Source organism: Homo sapiens, chromosome 13, assembly GCF_000001405.40.
Source record: "Homo sapiens chromosome 13, GRCh38.p14 Primary Assembly".
Taxonomy (NCBI): domain Eukaryota; kingdom Metazoa; phylum Chordata; class Mammalia; order Primates; family Hominidae; genus Homo; species Homo sapiens.
The window spans coordinates 71,843,331-71,864,608 of NC_000013.11; the positions used below are offsets into that span (position 1 = coordinate 71,843,331).

Here is a 21,278-nt window from a genome sequence, read left to right on the forward strand (position 1 = left end):
TCATGGCTCACCACAACCTCAACCTCTGGGGTCAACCAATCCTCTCCCCTCAGCCTCTCTAGTAGCTGGGACCACAGGTACATGCCACCATGCCTGGCTAATTTTTTTGTATTTTATAGAAACACGGCTTCACCATGTTGCTCAGACTGGTCTTGAACTCCAGGGCTCAAACAGTCTGCCCAGCTCAACCTCTCAAAATGCTGGGATTACAGGTGTGAGCCACTGTGCCCAATCATGAATGTTATTTAAAGCATAGTACTGATGCTTCTAGGATTCTATTGGATTTTGAAAAATGATAGTACTCTATGTTCCAAATTTTCCACACTAGACTGAAGTTTACAATTCTTCAAGAAGCTTTTCTTGTTTATTAAACACATACAAGGGAGGCTGAAAGTTCCCTTCAAATATATTATATACCAAGCCCCAAGTGCAACACTCTTCGTTGTACATTGAACCAAAGGAAAGCACACCAACCATGCATTGTATCAGGGTCATTTAAGAGGATATGTTTATGGTGCAGGTTACAGGCAGCTTTGCCCATTGCTTAAACTAGGAACATTTATTCCTTATCAATATTTAAATGAGCATACTATTTGCAAAGCATTGCAAATTATTGCCCTAGGGAAGTCATAAATGCGAAGAATCAAACTGCATAGGAGAAAAAGGACAAAGCCAGCCCATTAAGACAGAAGTCTCTAGGGGAAATGAAAATGGCACTACTTCCTTCAGCATATCCTTATTTTCCCACAGAAGGGCCCCTCACCTGAATCTTAGCACTAAAAGTTACAAAAGAAAAAGTAAAGATTTGAGACTTCCAAGAGCATCCATTAATAGAATTTAGAACTGAGTGATTCTGGTATGCTTAAAATTATGGTTTTAAGGCTCAACTACAGAGGTTTCCATGAATTTACTTAGTTTCACAAAATACTGTTAGTTTGAAATGACATAAGGTCGTGCATAAATAGTACAGGTAATCCTGGACAGGCAAGCAAGGCAGGGGTTGGCAATGAATCCATGCATTTAGTCATCCACCAATAGGTTCAATCATGAGTAGAAGCAAAAAACATCAGAAACATCAGGATGCAGCCCACTTTTTCAACATACAGTTGATGTAATTCAACAAACCACCATTAAAAAGAGGGGAGGCATTGCTAAATATTTTATAGAAATACTATACCTCCTCTCCTAAATGTCTAAGAAATAATACTTTTTTTGTTTTTGATTTATGCAATATATCATTTATACATGATCTTTTGTGATTCAAGACTTTGACATGACATTGATGAGACACTAAACATTAACAGAAAAACTCACAAAATTTAGCTATACCACCGTTAACTCCTTACCTTAATAAGACTTCCATCACTTCCCCTATATAATAACTAACCTGGTGAAAAACTGTTACTACCCACACTTGATTAAAGAAAATGTGGAACAATATTCAGCCATAAAAAAGAATGAAATCCTCTCATTCAAGGCAACATGGATAGAACTGGAGTACATTATGTTAAATGTAGTTAAGACAGAAAAAGAAAGTTAAACACTACTTGTTCTCATTCATGTGGAAGCTTCAAAAAGTTGATGTCACAGAAGTAAAAAGTAGAACAGTGGATACTAAAGGCTGGGAAGGGCAGGAGAAAGGAGGGAAGAGGAAGAGATTTGTTAAACAACACAAAATTACAGCTAAATAAGAGGAGTCAATTCTAGTGTTCTATAGCACTGTAGGGTACCTATAGTTAATAATATGTGATATAGGTTCAAATAGCTAGAAGGAAGATTATTTAGTGTTCCCAACACCAAGAAATGATAAATGTTTGAGATGATGGATATGGTAATTACCCTGATCTGATCACATGTATCACAACATCATTATGTATCCCATAAATATGTGCAATTGTTATATGTCAATTTTCTAAAAATGTTATTATAAATAAAGTGAATGAACACAGATGGGCAAAGTTAAGAACTACCCCACTAAGGAATTTGCACATCATGAAAGTGTGCCAATATGAAAAACAAGTTATTCATATGGAATATGAGGATGCCAAATACCAAACTATAATACTTTTTTGCTGTGAAAAATAAATAATAATAATCTAAAGACATCAAAAAATGGCAAACTAACTGGATGGAAGAACTTATACAAGTGGGTCATTGACATGGGATGATGAAGCTGATTCTAGATTACAGCATGTAAAGGAAAAGTTCCTACTCCCAAACTTGCCATAGTTACATATCAGTTTAAAAACTGGAAAGAAACTTTATTACAAACTGCCTACAGTAGGCTTTACAAGCCATAATCAAAATAGCTTACTCTGACAGTATTAACGAGATGGAATTGTGAAATAAGTATGGAGAGTGAACTAGAATTTGTCAAGAAAGGACTGGAATTATAATAGACCATAATCCAGTATCCTTATGTATTACTTTCTCCCCACTGAGGACCACTATCTGAAGATATAAATTAGATTAATAAATTAACACTACAATTTTAAATTTTATCTTATAAGCAAATTATGACCTTATCGGTACTGCTTGTTGTGTGATAAGAGTCCCTATGATGATAACGAACTCGTTAACATTTTTCAGTCTTTTCCCGCCGTCTTGGAGCCTATGGGGCCTGCTGGGAACAGGACTTCTAAAAGAAAATACGTCTGGAAGGCTGTGGTCGAAGGCCATTTTTTTTTGCTAGTTATAAGCGGAGTGGGTCTCCAGAACCAAAGGGAGCTCATTCTTCTCAAAATTGACGGTGTTTATGCCCAAGAAGAAACTGAATTGTATTTGGGCAAGAGATGCGCTTATGTACACAAAGCGAGAACAGCACACTGACTCCTGGCGGCAAACCAAACAAATCCAGAGTTATCTGGGGAAGGTTCACTCCGGCGCACGGAAACAGCGGCATGGTTCATGCCAAATTCCGAAGCAATCTTCCTGCTAAGGCCACTGGACACAGAATCCATGTGATGCTGTACCTCTCAAAGATTTAGACTAACGAAAAGTAAATAAATAAAAGTTGATTTGTCAAATCGGCCGGGCGTGGTGGCTCACGCCTGTAATGCCAGCACTTTGGGAAGCTGAGGCGGGTGGATCACTTGAGGTTGGGAGTTCGGAGCGCAGCCTGGCCAACACGGTGAAACCCCGTCTCTACTAAAAATACAAAAATAAGCCCGTCGTGGTGACACACACCTACTCAGGAGGCTGAGGCCCGAGAATCACTTGAACCCCGGAGGCGGATCTTGCAGTGAGCCGAGATGGCGCCACCTCACTCGGCCTGAGCGACAAGGCCAGACTCTTCCATAGGTAGGTAGGTAGATAGATAGATAGTCTTTGGTTAAGTACTATTTGAATAGGACAATATAATAGGAAATAAAATTTTCAGAATGAGATTTCTTGGGTTCTATTACCTCTACTTGTCAGGTACTAGCTGTCAAACCTTAAGCAAGTAAACTAACTGCTCTGATCTTTAGTGCCCTCATCTTTGAAACTAATAGTTAGAACCTATTTCTGCTAGCTGTTACTGGGAGTGAAGGTGACCACGTACTTAAAATATTTAATATAATCCCTATCAAACACTAAACACTAAAAATAGTAGCATGTAATTATCAAACTGCTAATACATATACTCTTATTTTTGGTCTGACCACTCAATTTAAATGTTTAGATACTTCAAAAATTATGCATTTGGTGACCTTTCATAACTAATCTGATAGACAAACCTTAATTAATAATAATAAAGGTAAAGACAAAACCTCGGCCCTATAAAATCATATGAGTATATACATATATGAAGTCTATATGTTTATGCTTAAACTACCATTAGCATATGGGAAGCATCCAGGAATTAGACATCTTGTAATATACCTAAGAACTAGTGTTACATATATTTTCATTTGTTTGTTTTTATTTCTATATAAAAATCTAAAACATATGTATTTGCATTCCTATTTTAATTTATTGGTCATAATCAAAATGCCCCATAATTATGAATTTCATAAGAGCATTTGCAAGTAATTCAATAATATGCAAACAAAATTCTTATAAGTCTATTGCATTTATAATGGGTGCCTACTATGTGCTAGAAAGTATCTGAGGGTTTTAGCACAAATAGATACAAAACTATACACCACAATAATCCCAGGGAAGTAAATGTTAGTTACCAGAAACTGAATTCATTCAAGTTATAAAGTCTATTTATGACTTTGAAAAATCGCCGTATCATCTTCTATCAGCAAGTAGCTATATAGCTACATTTTAAAATGTTAACAGTGATGAAAAATATTTCACAATTTTTAATACACAAGTGAAAATGCCACAAAAGAATCCACCTGGATTTCTTCTCCTGTGGTGAATTTTGGATATGAGATGCTTTTGTAGCCAAATGCCATGGAGAAAATCAATTAGATCTGATTTTAACAACTTACTAAATTTCACAATATAATAAGGGAGAAACAAGGTGTATTAACATAAGGCACTGCAATCAATCTACTGACAAAGGAAGAACAATAGTATTCGGATATAGGTAATATTATATTGATGTGTTCACAAAATATTGGACAGGCACCAAGTTTTTGCTAAATGGTTGAATGCCTAGCTCAAATTTATTTTCAAAACGGGAGACTACAGAAAATAATCATTTAGGGGATCTTGAGATGCTTGGTCATATCTCTCAAAATCACTGTGCTGGGAGACGCTTGGTACAGAATAATTATAAATTTTGTATTTAGTTTAAGAAAATTCTGGAGACTTAGCCATCATAGAATGCTCTGGCCTACTTAAAAAGAAATCAGAGATTCAATAATACCCGCTTTAATTTTCTATAGAATCTCCTGTTTTCATAGAGTTGCATGACAGTTACCATAGATACTGAAGCCATTATCCCCCCCCAAAAAAATGGTATTTTTTTACATATGCTATGACTATGTTTGTCTTATCTTGCTTCTCAAAAATTTAACCATGTTAATCTGTCATTCAAATTTTCTTTGAAAGTTAGTGTTAATACAATTTTAATAAACGTTATATGTATATAAGGACTTTGTAATTTTTCAGAATTCACAACTTCCTTTAGATTGTTATAGTTTAATTGGTATTTCTTTAGAAAGAAGAGCAAATTGTGATAGCAAGAACAAAAATAGATTTTTCTTCGTGCTTTGTAAGCTCTTCTGGTAAGAGAGTTTTAAAAATTCAGTTGGGAATTCTAAACAGAAAACAACTTTTTCAGTTTTTTTTTTTGGAAACACAGTCTCACTCTGTCACCCAGACTGTAGTGCAGTGGCATTATCACAGCTCACTGCAGAGCCTCGACCTCCAAGGCTCAAGTAATCCTCCTGTCTCAGCCTCCCAAGTAGCCTGGCTAATTAAAAAAAATTTTTTTGTACAGATGGGGGGGTTCTCACTATGTTGCCCAGGATGGTCTGGAACCCCCATGCTCAAGTGATCCTCCCACCTTGGCCTCCCAAAATGCTGGGATTACAGGTGTGAGCTACCTCACCTGGCCCAGATGACAATTCTTGAAACACACCTTACAATTTCTGCAGTAGTTTCAAATAACTAATCGCATTCCTATCTTCACAACCTTCTGAAATAAGGAGAAAAGTTATCTCCATTATTCCCACTATCCGACATCACTCACCCAGGCAATTCACATACTTGGAACCTAAAATCAAATTTCCTGACTCTTCTTATGACCCTACGGTGTCTATACATTAGTTAATCTAAAATCTAGAGATATTGTGATAATAAAATACTTCCCTTGGATATTAATGACAATTTCTTTTGAAATAACATAATGATATTTTTGTGGGAAACATTTCCTAAAAATTACACTTGTTGCTAACGCTTTAAAAAACTGAGTTTTGTGTATGTATTCAGAATTAAATTTTCTTGCTACCTTAAGTAACAAGTGTGAACTGGAGGAGATGAAAATACTTCCATTGACAGTCACAACTAACTACTTTACACACCAGAGCCATGCCTCTGAGATGTGAAACATTCATTTCAACATTTGGCCACATGTAACTGTCTCAATACTGTGAACCCCTGCACAGTTTGCTATGGGCAAGAGACCTGCCGTTACACAAGCCTGTGGATCGACTGGTCTTGGTAGAATCTTATTTTAAGACTCTTTAAAGCACTGATTTATGCACAATTGATCTGATCAGCCAGGCAGTCAATGTGATTTATTAGCTAAGATGGCCAAAACCCTTTTTTCTCCTTTTTCATGCAGTAGTAATTCACCTCATTAGAGGTGGAATCATTATAGGAAGCTACTGAGAAATAAGAAGTTGAACCTGCTGGCCTGACTCCTTATTTCCCCCCCATCTATGGATCTACCAAATAGTAATAGCTAGACACTAAGACCAGAGCTGCTGTGCACACATGTAGAGGCCACTGTACTAGAGACAGATGGAGCAGATCAGAGAAGATTCTAATATTCTTCCACTCTGAAACATTTCCAGATATCAAATTCATTCATTTAGCTTCATGAGAAACTCATTCACTTAGTTTCTAGCAGGTATTTTTTGTTTATTTAACTACAGTAAGACAAATGACTTGTATTACTTTGTAATTATGGTGCCTAACTAAACATAAGACTAACAATGTGTATAACAGGAGTTGAAAACCTACAGTGTACATCCAGACGTGTGTACACAAAAATGTATACATACGCTTACACTCCTAATGTTGCACAAGATCTAGTTGAACAGCCCAAACAGGTCCATCTATGGACAAAATACACATTTGAATTTGCCAAGCACTTATATTTCCTATAATATGTTGGGGAAGGATCTACAGCTCTCATAGGTATACATCAGTACATTTGGTACAAAACTTCCTTCCTCTTGTTAAAGTCTGTCTCCCAGTCAGGATACCCTAAGTCCCTACTGATTACTGGCTACCTCCTTAAATTTTATTAACAAATAGTTAGAGAAGTAATGTAACAGAGTAATTTATGTTCATTTCATGAGATAGCTCTACTTTAAAACAGAGTATTACTCAACACCTTCGGGCCCTTCCATGCAATCTTCCACTAGGAGTGCAAGGCCAGGATCCTTAACTCTAGTTGTCCAAACCATGCATTTCCCTTTGACTTGATAGAAGATTCCTCCCTCCCAACACAGTGATTTTGAGAGATATGACCTGCTAATAGCTTCCTTCTATACCTTATCCCTCTCTAAAAGAATGAACACTTCGCCACTTCCCTGCCCACCTCCGACGTGCAAGTATAAAGTCAATAAGAAACTACTTAATATTTCACTATTAAAAGTTTAAAAACCACACATGATTCAGTACAAAAATGTTGAGGAGTAATACATTAATTCACTATATATGTGCTATATAAATTGTGAAAATTTGGATTTAAAAATTCAGATTTACTTAAGCCCAGTTATATAATTTCCATACAGAAGGACTTATGGCCACTGTCTTTGAGTCACTCTGACAAATGACTCCTTTAGAATATGCTGAATGAATGCACAGCTTTTAAGCTGAGCACTATTTCAATAACTTTAAAATGCAACAATGAACAAGACAATTTGTAAAATATGTGAATATTTTTATAACTCTTTCAGGAGGTACAGTACAACCTATCCTTATTACCAAACAAGTAATGTCAAATGACAAAATCTTTAGCTATTGTACTAGTTCAAAAGAAATGCAATGTGTGTATGTGCGCATTTGTGCTGTGATATGTACGTCCATGAGTATGCTTACGATCACATATTCAAGACCAGAAATCTTTACTGAAAGGATTCCAGGTGAAAATTTTTCAGTGTCAGAACATCAGTAAGAGGAAATATAATCTAAGATCTGGAGTTCTTATTCTCATCAGACATTTGCTGTTGACCACATAAACTTTGTCTTTAACCTCCTTCTTAATAGAGATTAATCAAAGGCAAGTAGCTTCTCCTGATTTAGGTTTTTGTTTCAAAACTTTGGTTGGATTATTATTTTAATAATTACCTATTTACTGCTACAGTTAAAACTCCATGTTTAAACACATTTTATAATTTACATTATAATTTACATTACATTTAGTATATTACATTATAACTAGTAAATAATGATGTTATTGGCCATTTTGATTTATTTATTATGCCCCCTTCTTGAAATAAAACTTTGCCTATATTATTAATGGCTTAAAAGAATAGTTTCTTTTCCTTTAGCTAATTGTATTTATTAGCAGCAGTTTTGTAAATAGAATAAGACACTCCAGGGAGAATACTGAGCTGGTATATAGTGGCCTTCTTGTTGTTGAAATCATTCACCCTTTGGACTTGTGAACCACAAAGCCCCCACAGCTCAGCAAATCCCAGCGTAGCACATGCCAAGTCCTGTCTTACTGCTTTCACATAGTCCTCACATTCTAACCCCCACCCCAATATTGCTAGATAGCTCAATACTGATGAGCATAGCAACAACTGACATCATAATTTATGGAATACAGTCCTGCCATCAAGCACATGTTGTTACTATATAAAGAATACAAATTCATCTGAAACTTGGGACTACTTCGGATGAATTTTTAGTTTGAGACCCCAGAGATTCTTAAAATTGTCTTGTGTATTTTCTTCAAAAGTTGATATGTGGTTTAGTCATTCTCAGTGGGCTTCTGCATCAGTTTAAACAGTGAGTGTACAATCTCCGCCTAGTTAAACTACACGTTTACATGGCGAGAGTACCAATGAGTATGTTTCATCAGACATTTCTGGAAGCTCTCTGGCCAATAGGAATGGTTTGAAACTGTTTTCTAATCACTGTTGAAATCACTGATAGTACTGTCTGTCCACACTATGACAGACAAAAGCTCAAATGTATTAAACATAGCAATCCATCATCCTGCAGATGGGAAGCAGGAGCCAGCCGAGTTCAGAGGCAGTGACTACCCGCTGCTTAACAAAGGCTGGAGTCCTGACAGTTCAGTCCCTTCCTTGCTCTTCGCGACCACCCCTCCATCTGAGATGAATGAGTGTAATCAATGAGGGAGAAAGCCTGCTGAGGACCTCAAATTCAAACATTGTTACATTTAAAGTGCTGCTTTTTTTTTTTTTTCCTAATCAGAACTGTTGCTTAAACAGTGTTCTCCAACTACAAGAAGATAGGCATTTAAGTGAAGGAATGAACAAATGAACTATAGATTCAAGAAGCATATCCTTAGAAAATACTGTCCTGGTATACCATTAAGTTTAGAGAGCTAGCTTTGAAATAAAGCTGTGATCCTAATTCAGAGGAAGTTTGCTTAAAAATTCACCCAATTAAGGGTAAGTTTACATTGTTTGGAGCAAAGGAATAGCGATGCTCTCTTTGAATGACCAAGAGATTATTTTTAAATAAGCACCAAATACAAATAAAATGCTATTGGCTAAAGTTCAATTTGTTTTGCATACTTGTTTCTAATAAGGACATATGAGCCACAAAATAGCCAAAGGGAGGGAAAAAACCCTCAACTGCTAACAGCACATTAACAAAGTATAGAAACGAAAGACACTTTTCTTTGGATTTCAGCCTTGTCATTTCCAATTTTCTGCTCCTTGGACATGCTTGTATTCAAATTCTGGAACATCTATTCAGCATATCAATCCTAATTAGACAATCTGGGTCTGGAAAGGATGAGAGCTGGGTCATTTGCATAATTTAATCATAAATACTCAGTGATACATATTTCCAAATGCATTTGTACAATTATCTTTTCATCCTTGGGGCAATGGTATTAATATGATTAGGCAATATTTCTGGAAAAAACAGACAAGTATGCACTCTTTTTAACTGCAGCTTAGGGCGATATGAAAAATTAATTAATTTCTGAAGAAAATCAATTTCTCTACGTGACCACATTAGACATTGCTAAACCAAGACTCAGAAACCTCTCTCAATCACTACATTTTATCAGGCTCTTCTAAATTCTGATTAGTATTTGAACAGTTCAATAGAAAAACTGGTAATGTATCAAAGAGCATCTTAAATTTTGAAGAGATCTTTCTGCCTACTTTCTTTTAGGGCACACCACTCTGCTTTACTTTAATGCATTGTTATTTAACCAGTCAATGAGAAGTCTGTGCTTTTGGTGTGAACTCATCTTGAGTGATCTTTTATTAATGTACATTAACCAATTTCAAGGACAACAGGATAAGGTTACTTTTGAAAGGCTTTCTCAAGAAATGGATTTATATTCATCTAAAATAATCTTAATTCACATGACACTGTTTATTATTAAAAAATTAGATAAACCAAGTCCTCTTAAAATGTACCATTTTCATAAGAAAAACATTATAATATACTTAGTGGAGCTCTAAGAACCCAGGTGGCTAATCTGATTTTTAAAAAAGAGATTCTGCTTTGTATGTTAATTAGTACAAAAGAAAGAAGTCACATTTGTGAGTTTAAATGCACTATTCTTTTCCTTTCAATCAAATGAAAAAGTAGAAATTACTGCATGCAAATATTCAATATTCATTTAATTTGCATAAAGGTGCTTGAACAAATTTTTGATTCTAACAAGCTCATTTTTCATGCGTTTTGTCTTTCATCCTAATCTAGCATCTGTCATTCCTTTTTGAAGTTATTATCGGCCCAATTCCCTCTTGGACATGGTTGCTGGGTGACCGGTATCTTAGCACCCACTTTGACAGGAACAGATGTGAAACTGATCAAGAGATTTCCCAAGGGTACCTGAAATCACAAACAACTTTTGTGAAAAACAAACAGCATTCCTGTCATGGGCCCTTATTTAACCCACTCTCCAAAAAAAAGAGAGCAAAAAAGTTTACTCCAGATCAAATATGCCATTTTAATTTTATTTCCTAAGCTTGGAATAAAATACTGTAATTAAATACAATTGTATTATATTTCACAATTTTGAATTTAAGGGATCTGTTCTAAATATCAATAGCTCAAAAATCCAGAGTTTGTTCTGTTTTTGGCTAGATGTTTATAGGTAAATTTCATGGTAAAATGTTTCTATTTCATGCACAATTTCACTAGAGTTTCAAAAAAAAAATAAAGGTGGGTTATGATAATTTGGATGACAAGGGTATGTAAGAAGATGAAATTTAGTTTGGTGTCTAAAGGCTTCCTATTTTGAGTATCATGTACAATTCTGTGCAGTAATAAGGATTACTCTACTTTTAGAGGATTGCCTACAAAATAAAACTTCCCCTCTCCTTTCATGCATTTTATAGCAAGAGTTTTTAACGTGTCTTTATTTCCAGTTCATGTGGTGTGTAACATCAATCATTATTGGAAAGAGAGCTAGAAAGTGCCTCTGAAAGACAAAAAAGGTCATAGAAACTTCATATCATCACCATTACAAAAGTCAGATTAGGTTGCCTTTTCTGAAATAGATTACTTTTAAGACCAGCACAATGATCTTATGATCTACCTACTTTCCTTCCTTCCATCACAGTTAGAGAGAGTGGAGTGCAATAGCCATGTTAAATCACCATGAAACTAGTTGGGGTAAACTTTTAAATGAAATTAGGTATATAATTAAATATTGGTATTTTATAAATATGGCATCAGGTGATACTAGGAAACAGCCAAAGAACTGATATGATTTTTCATCTTCATTCAAATGATAAGTATAAGGCCAAGGCAGAAAAATTGTTAATTTACAGTGAAAATAAGTGTTTGTGGATTGTCACTTAGCAGCCAACAGAAAAAGAATCAACAATGTATGTTTAAAACTCCAAATAGTTTTTCCTAGATGATCATGACTTATGATAGTAAGGAAAGTGGTATACCTTCCACTGGCAATTGTAATATTTTTCCTCTATTCCAAGAATTGATTTAGTATAATTATTATTAGAGACTTTTATGTTTGGTTCTTATTGGGAAATAACCAATAACCACTTATCCAAATGGTTTATTCAATGTTAAGTGAGAAAAGAATAAAAAGTCTTTGGAATTCTTTTTAACTTTTAATTTGAAAAGGAATTTGCTCACCTCAATTTCAAAACCCGATGATGGAATTATTTAACCATCATAATTGTGACAGCATATACATGTGTTGCCTTACCATCTATAAGATGTTTTTGGTGTATACAACATTGAGAGCAAGTCTTTCTATATGGAGAAGTAGGTCTTGATTCTGTAATCTAATGGCAGTCATTTAATACTGTCAAACAAGTAGAGATGCTATGACCTTACCCATTTATATCAGTTATCCATTTGCATTTATATGACATAGCATAGTACAGAAATGAAGCAAACTACTACACACCTAAATTCTTCTTTATTTGGAACAAATTGTTAACTTCAGCTGTCCAACTTAGGCCCATTTCATGTAAGTAAAGTGAATCCAGCTAAAATAAAAATATCTTTTATGCATCCAGTTTATCAGTGACCACCTTCATTTATTATTAGTAGTAGCAAAAGCAGCATTCTGGAAACCCTGTCAGGTGGTCCAACTAAAAGCAAAATTAGATACATAACCATTTAAAGTGTGACTCTAAGAAAAATTAAATATATTCCTAGAAAAATCCTTATTTGGAAATGTTATTACAAGGAAAAGGTCCTAAAAAAGTTTCTTCTCCTACTTGGACTGACTCATTAGTAAAGAGAAATTGATTAAAAAGTACAAAATAGTTGTTTTTATATCTAATTAAATTTGTGTTTATACTCCTTAAATCTAGGATATATACATAAAGAGAAGAATTTTGTTTTAAAAAGTAACATTTTAATAGCATGAGAAAACTTAAATAGCTGCAAAATTTTGATGGCACTTTGGCTTAACTGTGAAATACCACTGATGAATAATATTTTTTTAATTTCTTAAGAATAAAGGTACTAAATATGGTAGCCAAACAGGTGTTAACAGAAAGAAAAATCAAATTTGACCCAGAAGGCTCCAATATTAAGGTTTGAATTGGGATCAGTTCATTCCTTTCCCATGGGGTAACTTGTATAAATGTAATTCTATGGTTTCATAAAAGCAGGTCAAGTTTCTGTCCCTGGGGGTCTTTTGGCAATTTGAAGCATGGAAGCACTGTTCCTGGCTACAAGTTCAAATCTGCATGTACCATACTGTCAACAGTGCGTAAGAAAAAAATCAGTGAACAGCAGACATATATTCATCTTTGATTATAGTACACACTTATCAGAGCATTCTTAGAGGGTAAGAATAAAGGTGTCAGAGATGACAATCATAAAATATTTTGAAACTATTTTCACTTACTTATACTTTCTCCTACCAGAAGATGCAAAAAGTAATGTGAAATACTTGTATTTATGTAAATATCTAAATGCAAAGATGAACTTTTTACCGAATACTGTGTACAAGGTTTTATATTTTGTACAAAGTTTTTTTAATTCCATAAGCTTTAGATGAAGCAGAAACTTCTAAGTCATCACTGTTTTATAAGCGTCTTTCTATGTTGCAAAAAATGTATGCCTGCTTGCACTCTTACCGATGACGTAATGACTTGACATAGGCCATGGAATTATTGAGAAAGTAATTGATTTCAATTTAACTGGATCTTTACTAGGTGTTTTCAAAGACAATTATAGTCCACTGCAAGAAGTGGTAATACACATCTCCTTATGTAGACCTGCAGATTAACCCACTGACCTCATTCCTAACTCATCTCATTGATGGCAAAGCTTTTAGAACAGTCTCTTTTCCTTTATGTTATGAAATTGTTTTCCTATCATTTATTCACTGATTCTAAAGGATATGCTGGCTCTAAGTGCAAGAAGCAATGAAATAAACCAATAAAAGAAAGAGAGCAAGGGCATCAAGCACATGTAGTGTCATTTAATAATGTACAGATTCTAATACCCAATCGTTTAATATCTATTTTATACAAATAAAATAATTCTTATACATATATTTTTAAACAGAGAATTTAAAGTACATTATCATAAAAAAGGTTTAGAAAAATTAAGCTGTTTTTAATCACTGTCCTAATAACCATATAGCCTTGCATAATTATATCTAAAATATTTAAGTATAAACTACTTCTTTAACTCTAAAATTAATTCTTTTTTTCTGTTGTATTTCAGTAAAATAGGACCTGTTTATTGATGTATTGTTTCATGTTTTTATGTGCTACAAAAAGGTAAAATTAAAGCCAATTGTATTTTCCTAAGTTATTTGTCCTGTGGCCCTACATCCTACAGGTGTATATGTTATGTTTGCGTGTGTGTGTGTGAATGTATTCCTACACAACACATATACATGTATGTAAAGGCTTTTCTACCAAATGTACGACAATTATTTAAAGCATAGAGTACAAATGAGCTAATGCTAATACATATAAAAAATATCCACCACAGAGTTCTCTAAACTACTGATAAAAATTTTACACTTGTTGCACACACAAGAACATTCATCCTCATATAAAATGTGTGACAGGTATTATGAAAAATAAAAGTGTTCCAGGTTATTCTTTTAAAATCAAAAGGCACTATTTAAGTGTAAGTGCCTAACTCAAGAAGATAATATCATTTTGAATAATCAAATTAAATAAAAATCCTAAATTTGAAACATAAAATAGAAAGTAATACTGTTGAATGCATCAGTATATTTTAGCAGAACTATGATGGGTTCAAAGATTTGTTACACCTTAAGTGATTTACTTTGTTCATACATAAACAATATGTCTTTAAAATATAAGACTATGAATAAAACAGCCCATTTACTGTTGCTACTAATAAAATATCAGGATACAGTTTAAGATTTTAACAAAATACTCCATCTGCCTGATAAGTGAATGTAATACACTATTTCTTAGTTAACATATTCTAGAGATTTATTTTCATTGCCTTTACTGAAGAAATGACCAGTATCCCTTAAATGGAATTGATAAATATTTACTGCAAATGCTTCTGTATGTTTCCATAAAATATCTCCCTTTCAAGTAGTACACTTTCTTTCTTAAGATATATTTTGTTTGCCCTTGAAGAAAAATAAGGTTATTTTTTTCCTGTTGTAACTGGAAAGGCAATCTAATTATTTACAAACACTTGATACCATACAAATTCAAAGATCATTTAACACTGTGACTTTTTAATACTTCATGTTTACCACTCCATTCATATACGCTAAGGAAACAAAAACATTTCTCAATTATTCAATGTTACCAATCAACATCAACCAATGTACTATGTGGCCTATTGCAGTATTTGCTTCATGAAAATCATGCTTTAAAAGTATATCCATATTTTTTTTGTCAAAAATATAGGCTATCTTCAAAATCCACTTCAGGATTCTTAAAGATCTACTTATAGTCAAATCAAAGTATATTTATTTCTATTTTTCAAATCATAGAAAATATAATCACCACGTTGTACAACATTTTCTTCCTATCTAACTGAAATTTTGTAACCTTAGACCAACAGCTCTCCAGTCCCTGGTAACCACCATTCTACTCTCTGCATCTATGAGTTCAACTTTTTTAGATTCCACATGTAAGTGATATCATGCAGTATTTGTCTTTCTGTGCCTGGCTTATTTCACTTTTACTTCCTGCTAGAAAAATGTAATGTATTCCAGGTATTGTATTCAACCTGTACGGTACATTATTATAGATACTTCAGTTAAGCACTCTCTCTCTCTGCCTCTCTCTGCCTCTCTCTCTCTCTCTCTCTCTCTGTATCTCTCTCTCTGTGTGTCTCTCTCTCAGTATCAATCACTACTCTCTAAAACTTTTTTAAAAAGTAACTGGCTATTCAGTGTGTTGCTGTGCTTGTAGTTTACAACACTTCAATATACTTATAACAACAACAAAAAAAGACCAATTAAACAATGACATAGTGAGATTTCCAGTTTAATGAGTTGTCTTTGACAACTTCCAATCAAGTCACATACATTTAAATGTGCAGAAGAATCCCAGCTTGAAATCCTGGATCAATTCCAAGCCAATTTGGATCAGAAAGCAAAAGGACCACACCTTTAACACAATGCAGTCATTGGCAAATTTAATGTCCAATTTAGAAAGAATGAAAGATGATTTTTTTTAAATGGGTGAATTCGAATGCTTTTCTCTTATAAAGGAAATCTATGTCCGAATAAACCAATACATTTTAAATGCATTTGGTTCAAGGTCCTTGACTTTGGATCAAGTGGTGATTTGGGTCATTATATGTGATGTGACATATATTTTTTAATTGGACATTTATCTGCTATTCATTAAATTAATTTTAATTGTATCATTAATTTGAAAAACAATGACCTTTTTATTGATTGTCTAATAACTAATTTATAGTGGATTGAAAATTCTTTTCATTGTCATTTGTACATTTATATATAAAGCTAATCATTAGCTGCCTAAAACTAGCAACAATGGACACACTCTTAACAGATTCTCAGAAACCTCCTTAAAATAAATAGGTGTAACAAATAAAGTAATCCACCAGTAATCTAATAATAACTAATTAGTGGACCAAATATAAATATCTTATCCTTGGTATTCTTGTTTTCCAAAGCAATAATTTGGTAAACTAACTATACTATCCTAATGAAGTCATTCCTGTATGTGACATTTGCTAAAAAGCGAATATCAGCAAATAAAAGTTAGTTACAAGACAGCCACAGTAGCAAAAATTACTTTTTACTAGAAATATTTTTGGCAGATTGAGAAGAAGGAAACAAGAAATTTGAGCAAAATGTAGGTTTGCACAGAGCCTCTGCTGTGCCTGAGATGTACATATCTGTGCAGATCAGAGCCTTTGCTGTTACACTTATCTGAGCTCCATTAGGTGGGCTCTTAATTCATAGTTTTCTTCTTTAAAAATTTAATTATTGAACATAACAAACATAATAGAGAAGGGTCTCCTTAATGCAGTCCCAAAGCCTGAAAATATAAGTGTAGTCTTAGCTAGAATATTCAAACTACATATACTATATAAATATATTAATATACTACATATAATATGTAGTATTTAGACATACGTATGTACACACACACACACACACATGCATGCAGATATACATCTCTTAAACTGGCCAATCACAAAGCATTACCTCAGTAAGAAAATGGCACATGCTGACATATGCTAAGGTCATTCTATTTTTATAACAATTCAAACATAAAATGATAAAACTTTATCTTAATTACATTTTTAAATACCCAAGCCAATAATATCCATTTTTACATTTCCTGTTATTCTAAAGATATATAACTTAATGTGACTTTTTTTTTTTTTTTGGTGAACAAGCTGAAAAGGAAATACTTGAAAGATAAATTCAAACAAAGTTTAACTTTTTAAAAGAACCAAGTAACAAAAACCTTAAAATAAAAATGTTTAATGAAATCTAGATGACTCACCTGTACCTATTTAGAAGGCATAGTTCAAATTAATTTCTTCAGACAAGGATTCAAAGGGAGACAGTTTACAACCTGTGAGAGTTTAATTTCCCATTATATTTTGCAGTAGTTGTTTTCTATGTTGCTCATACAATGCAATCGAAATGACTATTTTACTTGACTGACAAAAGCAATTGTATGAAGCAATTTAGTAAAATAACTTGGAAAGATAAAATAATACTAATTGATAGTTAAAGCACAAATTGTTCTTAAAATAACAACTACTTGGTTGCACATTAAGCTAATTTACTAATGCTACTTATACTCTAAAAACAAAACATCAAATGAGAAACAATAAAGCATATCATGTTTTCATATGCTGGTGAATCACACGTAGTAAATCGCCAAAGACAAGAGTGATTTATGCTCAAATCCTGCCAAGACTTTAGTCAATATAGGGTGTCACATCTCAGGGAGTTGGGGGATGCAGTGAGGCAAAAAGAGGGTGGTTAATATTTGTCCCAGTAGTTGACATGAAACTGGAGTGAGATTTAATAGAATAATCCAAAAAAAAAGCAGATTTGGACTAAAAAAATGAAGATTTTAAAACTATGTGTCAAATGTGAATACCAGAATTTTTCTAGAGGAAAAAAGCCTGTCGTGTAGTTTATTTTATATAATATTTGAAGCTTCACAAAATAAAATATCATATGTACAAATCAAATTTCTTACATCAGAGCATTAACTAAATGTGGAGTTCAGAAAGTAAAGTATCATCATAACCATGTTCACTTTTGACAAAAATAACCACGATATTGTGAGAGACTAACTCTTAGAAAAACAACAGGTTTGGAAGAGATTATCCAAATAACTCAACAACTTATATCCTGCAGTATAATTTGACTGAACAAAGTAAATTCTAGGTTAGAATATTCTTATATTTTATTCATACACTAGTTATTAAAGTGTAATTTGCTAACACTTTAAAAACATACAGAAATAAATTGTGGAACCAAGCAAACTTTCATATTTAAGCTTTAGTCTTCTAATTATGCCCTATTCTTTTTGAAATGATATAAAATGAGACATTAGGCGTTATTGGAAGCATTAATCTACTGTAATACGAAAACTTCAAAAGCAGAGTCTCTCTTCATTTGAAGCAATTCTTTAATTTCTCTGTGCCAAGTATTGTAATTATCTGTTAGAAGTGAATCTATATTTATGTTAAACTTTCTATATCAATGCATAAGTCTGTGTCATTGAAAACCAGGCAACAGGGCAAATGTTAAATAAATATAGACTGGTTCGGTTTGCCATCTTTATTAAAACTCCTAACCAAAAAAAAAAAAAAAAAAAAATAGAGTCAAGAGTTGGAAAATGTTTTGTACTTCTTACACTACAATTTCATTCATATATTACTACTGAAACATAAAACACTTTCAATATTTTGTCCATGGATGGTATTTTAAGACAAAAGAATTCTGTTTGTGAATATATGTATGTGCCTAAAAAATATATAAGACTAACTGGAATCTACTTAAGTTAAAAACCCCTCAAATCTAGGGTTACTTAGAACCTACATCACAATCTTGTTTGAAAGATCCTGAGAAAAAATTATCTTCTTACAACAATGAAAGAAATGAATATTTTAGATAACATAATAAAACAGGGTCACTTTTTTAAAACCTGAATTCGTGGAAAATTGAATCCTAACCCAAATCTACAAAAAGGGAACTGACTTATACAAACAGAGATTTGACCATGTACATAATTACTTTTCTTTTTTTGTTGTTATTTAATGGTAAGCAGTTAATTAACTGACCTCTGTTGCAACAGCCAAGTTCATGCAACTAATGTTTAGTTTTGAAATAATAATTGGAGGAAGCTGATCAAGGACAGACTTTGTCCTTTGACAACTTTTAAATATATGTCCTTACATTTCTTTCATGTTTTGAGACCTTTATTTTTTAGCTTTACATTTCTTTCATGTTTTGAGACCTTTATTTTTTAGCTTTACTGTCTAGCAGGTGATAGTCTCTTTTTCACCTCCTTGTGGTAATGACAGATGGCTTCAACATTTATTCTAGTTTTCATAGATAACATACTAATGCAATAGCCCTAAGCAAATTAAAACCACTCGAAGGTTTGCTACTAACTTACTGAGCCACTTTGAGCAAGTTTATGAACCTTACTTTTCTGTAACATCATTTCGGTTCCTCAAAATCCCTGGTATTATTATTCCATGCTATTAAGAGATAGACATAGTTTCTGTAAAAAGCTGAGAGTGCTAAGATTTGATGTTTCTCATTGTATATAAATTATGATATGTGCATGTATAAATTATATACACACATATATGGGTGTATAGATAGTAATTTTATACAGTTTCCCTTCTTGCTCAGCTTCTCTTATACTCTACATAAATTACTCCCTTAGCCTGTTAAGTAGCTAGAGGAGAAAGAAACCAAAGTGAAATAAATCAATACATCTAGGTGAATAAAAAAGGTTCTTCACAGCAAAGATATAAACTTGACTTGAATGAAAAAAGTAATCATAATTTTATAAATGCAAGATGCAAAACATTTCAAAGCTTTCAAAGGTAAGAAATAAGACAATAATGCTTATAATAATCATTAAAAATAATAATATAGGGTAAACAGTATATTTGGTGAGAGGGAGTTCCATTACAAGTTCTCAATTTCTTCAATCAGTGGCAGAGTTAGGAAAACCAAGGTAGGTATTTGCAACTAAACACCTTCTCAAGTTAATGACTACAATATTGCATGTATTTAAGTTTGAGTAAGCTTTTTTAGTTGATATATGATCAAATACAATACTAAATCAACAAACTTCCCGCCTTTAACTTAAAAATAACTTGAAATAGGGTTTTAGAGCAACACATGTAATTGCAAATTATTAAGGCCAGGTGACTGAAACATAATTACAGTAGTGATGAGATATTTGTGAAGAGATAAACAGTTCCACTGGATTTAACTTATCTTGGCTCTGCAAGTTTAAACTCCAGATCTGTTGTTAACCTCAGGGGGAAAAAACTTGAAAAATATTTAGTTAAAAGTTAAAGAATATTCTCCAACCACATGGTGAGGACTTCAAATCTAGGCAAAAATTCAGGGAATAAATCGAGTTTAACATTGATTATAACATTTATTATAATGCAGTCATTGAAGAAAGTTTTCTCCAGTAATTTTTTGTGTTTACGTGTGTGTATGTGAAATGGCCTTTAATTATCTAGTATCTAGTGTGCTGTAAGAAACACATAAAGAGGATACCGAGGAGAGTAGATGTTTGATTATTAAAGAGAAAAAAAAAGTAGCAATTCACCAATTTACTGGATAGGCAGACAATTTTATAACAATCGTATCTGAACTAGCTTCAAATTTCACCTAGCTTTCTTCATAACTCCAGAACAATTTTCCTGTCCTGATTCAAATAGTTTTAATATAGATTTTGGGCAAATATTTTACATTCTGCACGACCAAGAACTCCAATTATCTGAGTAAATGACGTTTAGTGATCTTGCTTCCGCGACCCCCACCACCCCCCATCTTTACTGCCACCTGTCCATACTTTTGAGCGCGCGCGCGCACATACACACACACACACACACACACACACACACACACAACATTTACCCCAAAATAGTCGAAGGTTCAAAGCCCAAACACACCCAAGTCCCATGGAAGGAAGAATACCTAAACACGGAAAAGAATTTCTGGCTAGGTCAGGATAGGACATTTGCTGGACTGGAATTCGAATCTTTTTCGTTTCACAGCCTTCCCGGGCACTAACAGAGAAGAAGTCTTTCTCCATGGAAAAAAGAGCTAGCGCTTTTTCAACCCAATGTCCTTCTGGTCTCCTTGCTACACTTCCTTTCCACCTAAGTTTCCCTATCTCTGCGGGAGCACACACTAACTCCGCTCCTTCTCTCAATCTTCAAACTTATTTGGAGGGTACCGAAGTTTCTGCGCAAATTTTGCGCGCAGTTCCCACGTGCCCGCTTCAGGTCTTCAACTTTCC

General features: G+C 33.6%; 1 protein-coding gene and 1 pseudogene across 6 annotated transcripts in view, besides 1 other annotated feature; one reads left to right on the forward strand and one right to left on the reverse strand.

Annotated features, from left to right (window-relative positions):
- Positions 1–21,278, reverse strand: part of DACH1 (dachshund family transcription factor 1) — a 429,239-nt gene that overhangs the window by 405,365 nt on the left and 2,596 nt on the right. The window lies entirely within an intron of this gene.
- Positions 2,590–3,022, forward strand: RPL35AP31 (ribosomal protein L35a pseudogene 31; annotated as a pseudogene).
- Positions 8,325–10,873: an enhancer, noted in NCBI's record as "VISTA enhancer hs138". NCBI's record gives its function as "enhancer in: neural tube[5/5] | hindbrain (rhombencephalon)[5/5] | forebrain[4/5] | eye[3/5] | cranial nerve[5/5]" and the evidence as "EXISTENCE:transgenic organism evidence [ECO:0001131][PMID:17130149]".